At 44.3% G+C, this 11024-nt stretch overlaps 1 annotated feature.

Moving 5' to 3' along the window:
- Positions 2394 to 3243: an enhancer, noted in NCBI's record as "OCT4-NANOG-H3K27ac-H3K4me1 hESC enhancer chr20:55499864-55500713 (GRCh37/hg19 assembly coordinates)". NCBI's record gives its function as "activates a minimal SCP1, AML or CMV promoter by ChIP-STARR-seq in naive and primed H9 embryonic stem cells {active_cell/tissue: H9 hESC(naive and primed)}" and the evidence as "EXISTENCE:reporter gene assay evidence [ECO:0000049][PMID:30033119]".

Genomic DNA, 11024 nt, shown 5'->3' on the forward strand with positions numbered 1-11024 from the left:
CTTTTTTTTTTTTTTTTTTGCTTTTTAAAATGTGGCTTATTAGAACATGTAAGACTCCACGTATGGCTCGCATTTGTGGTTCACATTATGTTTCTATTGGATGGTGCTGCTCTTTAGCATCTTCTAAGCTTGAACTTGAGTGTCTTTTGCCTGGGAGTGAGCAGGTAAGCCGTTCAAGGGACTCTGCTCTGCTCCAGGGAACCACAGCAAAAACCTGTTCTCTGAAGATCCTGCCGAGGGATTTGGGTGGATAAATATTTACAGTTCTGAGGTTGCATTTCGAACAGCTCCAACATGTTTGCAGAGTTTGTATAAACCTAATCATCGCAAGGCACACGGTTTTCATTTCAACTGCCTTTAATCCTGCGGCCCCTGAGAAAGGAGATGTGATGACATCTCTTCAAAGTGCGAGGCCAAGTCTGCTGGGAAATGGCCACAGGTATCCGCAAAAGGGCAGGGCCTGATTTGGGATGTTCGCTGGTGGTTGCATTTTTGGAAGTAATAGTGGTGTTTTTAATGGCCAAACTCAATTACCCTCCTAATCTGTTGTAGAATAAAAAGTTAGGAATTCTAAGAGCCTAAGGCTATACGTAAAACACCACTGCTCACCACTCCAAGGGGACTTGGCAAAAGATTTTAAGTTGCTGCTAATGAAAATTTAAGTTGGGTGTTGGGAACAAGAAAGCATAATTTGTTGTGGTTGTGTGTGTGTGTGTGTGTGTGTGTGTGTGTGTGTTAAAGCTATCTGATTTCATTAAATTGGGCTGTGGCCACTATTTTCTGTTTTACTAAGCCCCCAAAGAGATGTTTTATCGGCTGAGTGTGGTGGCTCACACCTGTAATCCCAACACTTTGGGAGGCCAAAGCGGGTGATCCCAAGGTCAGGAGTTTGAGACCAGCCTGGCCAACATGGTGAAACCCCGTCTCTACTAAAAATACAAAAAAAAAAAAAAAAATGCTGGGCGTGGTGGCTTGAGCCTGTAATCTCAGCTACTCGGGAGGCTGAGGCAGGAGAATCGCTTGAACCTGGGAGGCTGAGGTTGCCGTGAGCCAAGATTGCACCACTGCACTCCAGCCTGGGCGACAGAGCAAGACTCCATCTTGGGGTGGATGGGGTGAGAAGAGATGTCTTCTCATGGTGACATTCTGCATTCCTATATGAAGTGAAAGGAAATGGAAACTCAGGCCATAAGAAAGAAAACTGAGGAAAAATCAGGAGTGCTTAAAGACGGGCTGAGAAGTAATTGATTTTAAGCCATATGCAGAGTGCCAGATTGCAAAATTTCAGGTTGCACAAAGGCAAAGTTTTTGAAAAAAATGTGTGGGACTTAAACCAAGTCCTAAATAGAAGGTAAAACAATTTACGTGGCTACAAAAGAAAAAAGATTATTCTTTATATTAGAACCCAAGTATCTTGGTAATGCAGACATCATCTGGTTTTTTGAAACTTTGAATGGGGGTGGGGGAAATTATAATGAATAAAGTGTTTCCTATTCTTTTACTTTTCACTTCCTGCAGTTACTGGTGGAGAATTTCACCAATTGAAAATTATTAGGCAAGATTTTTCTTTTTAGAATGCACTCTATGTATCATTCTGACTGAGTCATCTTCCTAATTAATTTTCGCACAAGGATAAGAGTATTTTGGCACCTGGGGAATACCACTGGAGTCACGATATTATTTTCTATGAAGGTTAAGGTTTTGCAATCATAGATAACCCATAACCTTTGAAAACAGAAATTAGTTTTGTTAATTTCAAATTCCAGCACCCTACTTGCAATGAAACGATGCCACTTTCTTTAAGTTCTGGCCCCTCGGCAAATGGTTATTTTAACTGACACTCAAGTCAAAAGCTCGTTTGTAATGTCCTTTCATTTCAGCTTTATGGCAAATTAAATTATGGTTTGGTTAAACAAAATTACATTAAAAACCATATGTGCTGAAGAAGTTTTAAGGAGAGTATCACGTTTATACTTTAAAAAGCCCAACTGCTCTGTTTAAAGTGGATCTTTCATAAACTTGCAGTCAGGAGCAACAATGACGTCCTTCAGGGAGTCAAACACTTTGGAAAGAAACGCGAACTGAAAATGCTATTGGAGGACGCAAGAAAACCGAAAACGCTCGGTCGAGTTTTTCTGTCAAGCCACGTTTGAAATTAAGGAATTCGTGTAAATTGCCATCTTTCGCATCCGAAGCAAGAAACGTACACAGTTTCCCTGCTATACGGAGTTGTTGTGACATAAGAAAACAGAATCTTTTTAAACCTCGAGTTTAATTAATTCTTTTTTAAAAAAGAATTTAGCAGCAGCATGTTAAAAGGGAAAGGGGGGGGAACCCGATTAGTTCCAAATAAGCGTCTCTTAATCACCCTTATGAAGGCGTAATTTGCAAAACACTCCTAGGAAGTAACATCTTTTTCATTTCAGGGGAAAAAAAAAGTGCATTGATAAAAAATAAGTAGAACATTTTAATTAAAACTCATAAAGTTGTGGACATCTGGTTGGGATTGTTCGCCGCGGCGGTGATTAGCGGATCCGTGCACCTAGATAATGAAGCCTGGTCGCGGTTATTGGCAGAAGGGCCCGGGCGCGCTGTGAGAACGCTGCAGGCTCACTTTGTAGTGCGGGGCCTACGCCTATTAGATTCCAATCAGTTTCGCCTAAAAAGGGGAGGAGGGCGGAGTGGGAGGGGGGCCCAGAGTTAAACACAGGAAACAAGCGTTGAGTGTGTGCCAATAAAAATGGTCACAAATCAGGGCTGCTGATGTCATAACCCTGGGGGTCGGGGGTCAGGGGGAGTGAATGCGCCTGAAAGGGACCGCCTGTCTGCGGCCGGAGCGGCGGCGGGCGCGGGGGGCGACGGCGCGCACAATGGGCCCGGAGCGCCTCATTAGAGACGCGTTTGATGCGCTCCCGTGCCCCACGGGGGCCCTGGGCGATGTCAATGGGATAATTACGATGATCTAATGGCCGGCTCTTTTGCATGCAGGCCCGCCTGAATGGGGCGCCTGGAGGCTGCATTGAGGCCGGGCTGTGTAAACTGTAGGGTGCCTCGCCGACTCGGAGCCGCAGAGACTGGCGGCGGGTCAACTTGGACCACTTTGCATTCACGCTTTGAATAGGCGGAGCGGGAGGCGTCCTTTCCCGCGGCCGCCTTTCAGCCGAGAGAGTGACAGATTGGAGGTCAGCGGCTGGCGGGACGGAAGCCCTCGCCGGGCAGATGGACCCGCTCCGGGCCGCGCCGGGGACCCCCGCCCCGCGCACAGGCGTGTCTACGCGGACGGGCTCCGAGCGCACCCGCGTGTGCGAGGCGATGGGCAGCCGCCCGTCTCCCGATGCAGCCAAGAGAACGGTGGTTTTGCATTTTTTCCAAACCTCTTCTTGTCTTAATGACAAGAGTCAAACCGTCTCGCGCTTGGCTCCCCTCCCGGCACCTGTGCGTTTCCCCAGAAGCCGACTTGGCCCCGGCCAAGGGCACCCGCAGAGCAGCCCCTACCCTCCAATATTTTGCAGGAGGGGAGAAGAGGAAAAAGAGAACTGGATATTTGATATGTCGAAAGAATGATCGATGATGAGGCTGCACCGTAGGAGCTTGCCGGTCTCCGACCGCTGCTGGCCTGCGAAGCCGGCACGTTTACAAGGCTCAGCCCTGGGCTGTCATACTTCCACCAGAACAGCAGCAAATGCGTTCATGGCGAATTATTTTGCAGACGTGAGAACTCTGATTTTTTTTTCAGCTTCTAGGACTTACACACAGTTAGCCTGGGTCTTTTTTAGCACATTGTACATGGTACTAGAATTCAATAAGTATTTGTTGAATGAATTAATCGGTAAAAAATGAATATAGAAGTGTGTACAGACAATTAGGTCTCCTGTTCTTTGCCCTTCCCCCACTGGTGGAATATCTTTTCCTTTCTCTTGTGGATAAAAAAATCACTCTCTTTCTGAAGCAAATAGTGGGCATTCTAGAAAAATTATACTAACAGAGTAAAAGGAAGGTAATACTCTTTCATCCTTGCATTCTAGAAAACTTAAATTATACTAACAGAGTAAGGAGAGAGTAATCATTCTTCATCATCAGTTAGGACGTGTGTATGTTCCCTTTATAAGATTATATACTATACATCACATGTCACCTATCACATTACATGGCTTTGCTTTTATGAGAGGGATCAAATGATACATGACATTTGAAAGTTGATTTAACCTACACTCACTGACATTATTCTGTATCAGTAAAGATCTATGTATATTCTCCCATGAATGCCTGCTTAGTGTTCTGCAGCATGGATTTGTCCTTATTTAATTAAGCAATCCCCCACTGATGGACATTTAGGTTGTTTCCAGCTTTTCCCCCTTTAAAACAATATTGCTAAGAATATGTTTGTACATATATTACAAATATATACTCTTCGTACACTTTTCCAATGATCTCCTTAAGATGAATAATTAATATTTCAAGGGTAAAGGATGCCATTTCTCTTATATATCCTATATTTAGGGCTGGAATCCAACCTAGTCAATAATCTAGCCCTGATCACATATGCATATTCATAAAAATGCACCTAGCTGCCAATTCTCTCCTCCTTCTTGCGATTTAAACTCATCCTTTCCAATTAAGAAACTTCCTTCTTTTTGCAGAAATTGGGGTCACTGTAGGGAAAGGGGGGTGTCTCTGATTTTATTTTATCCACTCTTTTCTTCATTCGGTGAAGTCTCTTCTTCATAGCTCCCAATTACAAATAGCTTCATCTTGATTGCTTCCCTGGAGTCATAACCCTCTCACAGATCCACACACACATTTGCACACAGGTTGAGCACTAGGTTACCTGGAGGTCCCAAAGCCACATTTGGAAACACTACTCGGCACAGCAAATGACATCGCAAAGTCGATGAAATGAAATTGTCAAGCGTAAGAAAATGCAAGCCGTGCTTCAGAACGCGCTGCTGCCCATGTGATGTGCAAGTGGCATCGAGTCTGCAGGATAAATTCATCTTCAGACAGAAAACAAAAGTGGAATTGAGTGGTATTTAAGCATCTAAAAATTCTACTCAGTTTTAATAAAACAATATAGGTATATAGTAGACATTTTTTTCCCAAACAAAAACAGTGAAAAGTTTCTCCCCTACCTCATCCCCGCTCCCACTTCAAGATTCTTCTTCCCAGAGGCAACCATTTCTACCATTTTCTTACATCTCCCCCCGTAAAAGTTCTTTGCACACATCAACAAGCTGTACATATGTAGGCATCTCTCTCTTTACCCAGTAAGCTACATGCTGGACACATTGTCCTGCATTTAGCCCTTTTCACTTAAAATATCTGAATCAGTATTCCTTTGTGCGAATGAACCACAGTTTAACCCCTTGCTAATAAAACGGTTGGGCTCGGTCTTTTGCTCCTACAATGGTCTTCTCCCCCAGGTAAACCAGGTCTGTTGTTAAATCACTACCACAGAAACTGGGCTGAAAGTGCATTCAGTCTTGGTCACTGTTGCCAAACTGCCTTCCAAAGAAACCCTTCCAATTTGCACTCCCCCAAATCGGGTTTCAGAGTGCCTGTTTCCCCACACACTTGCCCCTTCAATGTCTTGTCAACTTTTTCATTCCTCAACCAGATCTGGGGAAATGGTCTCAAGACATTTCTGATTGCTAAACAGCCTATATGAGTTTTGCTGGAAACTAAGCTCCAAGGGAGAGTGGAATGATTGGGCTCCAAACCCCCACTGAGCCAGGAGTTAGAAATTCTAAGGGAGGCCGGCCCCATGGAATGTCTTCCCCATGAGAAGGAAGGGCAGGTAGGTTGTGTTTACCCTGCAGGAATGAGGGAGGGCCTGTGCCCTGGTGGGGATGGGGGAGGGTGGGGGGGCCCTTCCTTTGCCTGGCGTCACCCTGCCGCCGACAGTCACTTTACCCCAAGGGCCAAGGGTCCCCTGGGGACCCAGCAGCAGGGACACCACCTGGCTGCTTTGAGAGGTCAAACCCCGGACAGGACCTGTCCACTCCGAACGATGCACCTGCTTAAGCATATTTAACTACAGAAGGCAGCAAGATCCCCACATTCCCAGATGTCATCCAAAGCCTCCTTGAAATTCCCATGCCTTCCCCACCTCCCACCTCAATCCTGCCCAAGTAATAAACAGGGCTGATTGCATTGGAAATGAATGAAATTACATATTTGAATGGTTTATTTTGTTGTTGTTGTTGGTGTTTGAGATAGAGTCCCGCTCTGTCCCCAGGCTAGAGTGCAGTGGCACGATCTCGGCTCACTTCAACCTCTGCCTCCCGGGTTCAAGTGATTGTTGTGCCTCAGCTTCCCGAGTAGCTGGGATGACAGGTGCCTGCCACCATGCCCGGCTAATTTTTTTGTATTTTTAGTAGAGACGGGCTTTCGCCATGTTTGCCAGGCTGGTCTCGAACTCCTGACCTCGGGTGATCCATCCACCTGGGCCTCCCAAAGGCCTGGGATTACAGGCGTGAGCCACCATGCCCTGCTATTTGAATGATATTTGAGCAAAACTTTTGCATACACGACAGTCCTTCAATTCTTTGTCTTTTTCCACAGCTGCTTGTAAAGCCCGCGAAAAGGGTCTGGTATAAAAGATTTTCTTTCAGCTGTGATTTCCTGCAAGACTAAGGGACATTGGGCATTTCAGCTGCTAACCTGCTAAAAAGACTACTCAATCTTTTGTATTTTGGGGGGGCCTCTCTGCATTTTGCTTCCTTTTAAATTCACATCCAAGGAGGAATTTGGAGCACTTAATTTCTCACTTTTCCAAGTTACTCTCTACACGATTTTGTCAGCCTGGCCCAACCAGCAGCACTTTCTGTGAATACACGATTCTCACTCATTTCCTTCTCAGAGTAAGCAGCTTTTTTCACCCCAAGGAAAATGATTCTTGGTCATCATTTTGGATATTGACACGAATCTGGAACATTATTCTGCATTTGAACATTTGTAAAGACTTTAGTGACATGAAAATGTATTTCTGCTACAACAAGATTTTAATCTAACTTCATTGACTGTTGTTTCAGAAAAATAACATTTGCATTGGTTTAAGAAAATTTTTACCTTACAATTTTCATCTCCTCTTCCTTGTTGCCTATAAATATTTTTAAGAAACTGGAAATAAATGACCTGCAAACAGCCAAAGGGGGACAAAAGTGTTCTGGTGTTCAAGGCTGGGAGGTCTTTTTTTCCCCCTAACTCTTGAAAGGAAACTGTCCATTAGCTCTTAGATGAAGTTCTCAGGTGTTTGTGCCTTCAGCAAGCTGTGGTGAGTCTGAGCAAAATGAAGCTGCGATGCATCAGAGAGTTAAATGTAAATAGCTCCTCCTTGCAGGACGCTTGGCTCCCGCTGTACGTAGGTGGAGTTTGGAATCTGGGGTCCCACAAACCCCTTGCATTTTTGGTTGATTGTCTTTAATTACTTTTGAGTGCTGAGCAAGGTTGCTCATGCCTCCAGGCGTCCATGACAGACAAGGAATGTTTTTTAATGCCATGTATAAGGAGCACGTCATTAAGCATCAAACAGAGCAAAAATGACAAGAATAGCGAGTGTATCATTATGGCCTTCATTTAAGTAGAAAATACAGTAAACAGAAAGAAAAACCAACTACACGGGGTAATGGGGAGCGGATTTATTTGTTTCGATTGCCGACTATTCAGAAAGGCATTTATACTCGGATTCTCACCGCACTCACCGAAGCTTTAATTTCTCAGGTTGAAGGATGAAGGGACAAAGGGGGAGGAGGGTGAAGCGAGCAAAGGGGTTCTCATCTACCCTCAAGAAAACAAGTTAAATGCCACTTTAGTGTCTAAAGGGAAAAAGTTATCACTAATTATTTTTTATAATTTCTTTCTGGGGAGAAGAGTAAAATATGGAGATGTTCCCATGTTGCCAGAGTTAAGCCCATCACATTTAGCAAATCAAACTACGGGACACTCAATTAAATGTTAATTTTAGATAAACGATAATTTTTTTAAGGATAAGTCTTTCTCACGCAATATTTGGGACATACTTATACTAAAAAAAAGAGTATTCATTGTTTATCTAAAATGAACATTTAACGGGGTCTCCTGTGTTTAATTTGGCAACCCTTTTAGAGGTAGGAATCCAAATGCTGGCTCCTTATAATTCCATCATCTGTGCATCTGGATCACAGGAAAATTAAGTGCCACTCCACTCCATAAACAGAGAGATTAAATAGGGGGCACGTATGATAGTCAAAAGGATAAATAATATTATCAGTGAGTTATACTTTATACCCAACAGCATACGTTTGTATTAGCAACAATGGGCACATGTGGAATTGCAATGGTGGACCCCGTGAATCTGCACTGTGGAAGTAGAGAGGTGGACACTTGTGTTACCGGAAAGGGGTCCCGATCCAGACCCCAAGAAAGGGTTCTTGGATCTCACACAAGAAAGAATTTGAGGTAAATCCTTAGAGTAACATGAAAGCAAGTTTATTAAGAAAATAAAGGAATCAAAGAGCGGCTACTCCATAGGCAGAGCAGCCCTGAGGGCTGCTGGTTGCCCATTTTTATGTTTTTTTTAAATTATATGTTAAACAAGGGGTGGATTATTCATGAGTTTTCCCAGGAAAGGCATGGGCAGTTTCGGAGCTGCGGGCTCCTCCCCTTTTTAGACCGTATAGGGTAGCTTCCAGACGTTGCCATGACATCTGTAAACTGACATGGTGCTGGTGGGAGTGTCTTCTAGCATGCTAATGCATTATAATTAGCAGGTTATGAGCAGCGAGGACACCAAGAGGTCACTCCTGTTGCCATCTTGGTTTTGGTGGGTTATGGCTGGCTTCTTTACTACAACCTGTTTTATTGGGCAGGTCTTTATGACCTGGATCTTGTGCTGACCTCCTATTTCATCCTGTGATTAGAATGCCCAACCAATGGGAAATGCAGCCCAGCAGGTTTCAGGCTTATTTTACCCAGTCCCTATTCAGGATGGAGTTGCTCTGGTTCAAACGCCTCTGACACTTGAACCGAGGATCGTGGCGGAAAGGGCTGGACATGGAGATTCAAGGAATGGCCTCTGGCCACTTCCTGGTGGTGTGGCCCTGAGAAAGCTGCTTAAACTCCTACACCCTGGGTTTCCTCATCTGTAAAACACAAATAACTGTACGTGTCTCCAGAACTTGTACTCTCCGAGATAACACAAGTAAAGCCTGAAGCTCAGGGATGGACGAAGAGCCCTCGAGAAACCGTGGGTGTCCTGTGGAGAGACAGTGCTGCCTCACGGTTAAGGACACTGGGAGTGAGGGAGAGACAACAGAATTTTGGTAGCTTCCTGTCCTTGGGCCAATGACTTCACTCTCAGAGTATTCTTTTTTTTTTTTTTTTCTGCTGACTATCCTTTTAAAATTTAAACTGCAATCAGCCCTTTAAAATGGAAATGAGATCTCGTCATTCCCCTGTTCAAAGATCTCAAATGGCTCCATACCACACTTGGAATAAAAGCCAGGCCTTTTACATTCCCTAGGAGACCCCATGTGATGTCCCCACCACCCACCAAGGGAACTGTCACTTTGGCCATGCTGGCCTCCTCTCAACTCCTCAGACCTCCAACAGCACTGGGACTGGGGGAGGCAAGAGGGGTACCCGGTGTGCAGGATTTATGGAGGCCTTTGCTTTCAGGATCATGCGAGTTTTCACAGGTTTTGCAGACGCTCATGTGGGCCTAAAAAATGGCACCCTATACCCTCTGAGGTCGTTGTCTGTGCTTTGGGAACAATTCTGACCTGGCACAAAAGATTCTTGGGCCTGAGGTTGAGGCCAGGTGCAGAAAATTCAAATAAGCTATGGAACTTTCTCTTCACTTATTTGATGACATTTATCAGGTAACAGTATTGAGCACCTACTGTATCCCTGCTGTAAGACCCTAACAAACCACCCAATAAGATTATTTTATATTTTATTTTATTTTATTTTTATTTTTAGAGATAGGGTCTTGCTCTGTCACCCAGGCTGGAGTGCAGTGGCCCGATCATAGCCAGGTTATATTTTAAAAAGATAGAACTGAGCTGGGCACGTGGCTCACGCCTATAAACCCAGCATTTTGGGTGGCCAAGGCAGGACCACTTGAGCCCAGGAGTTCAAGACCAGCCCTAGGCAACACAGTGAGACCCCCATCTCTACAAAAAATAGAAAAAAATATCTGGGTGTGGTGGCGCACATTTCTAGTCCCAAATACTTGGGAGGCTGAGGTGGGAGGATCACTTGAGCCTGGGAAGTTGAGGCTGCAGTGAGCCATGATTGCGCCACTGCACTCCAACCTGGGAAACAGAGCAATACACTATCTTTAAAAAAAAGCACTTTGTATAGGCCAAGCATCAGATCAGGTGCTTTATAACAATTACGTAATAAACAATGCCCATTCTTTGAGTTTTTGCCAAGTAGGTCCAGTTGGCAATTAGCAAACAATAAAAGCATAATTGACATCCCCATTGCACAGGTGAGGAAACAGGAACAAGTCACTGTCTTAAGGTTGCACAGCTAGGAAGTGATGGAGCTGGGATTTGAACCCACAGTGTCCTGTTTTTGCTTCATTCACCCTTTTCCCTTTACCCTTTGTTTTTGCCCTTTTCACTCATAGACAAGACTACCCTGTCTTTGAGCTGCATACAACATGTGTGAACCCATCTGAAAAAGAAAGGATTTTGTTGAAAAAGTTGAGATCAGTTGACCAGTCAAATCACTCCAAAGTCATTAGTTCCGGTCACCAGACATGGTTATAAGGAAGTGACTAAAACCAACAACAGCCTTTTGGCCTGTGACTATTTGCCGCTCTCAATTGTCTAGCAATCAGAGAACCAGCCTGTGGCAAAATGAAAATGATGTTTCAGGTCACGATTGAATTGAATTGAAATGTTTGTTCATCTTCTCTCCATTCTCAGCTGAATTTCCTTGTGTGTTAGCACAGGGGTCAGAAAACTTTTTCTGCAAAGGGCCAGAGGGTAAATATTTTCAGTTTATCAGGCCATATAGTCACTGTTCCAACAACTCAG

This window comes from Homo sapiens, chromosome 20 (genome assembly GCF_000001405.40).
Source record: "Homo sapiens chromosome 20, GRCh38.p14 Primary Assembly".
Taxonomy (NCBI): domain Eukaryota; kingdom Metazoa; phylum Chordata; class Mammalia; order Primates; family Hominidae; genus Homo; species Homo sapiens.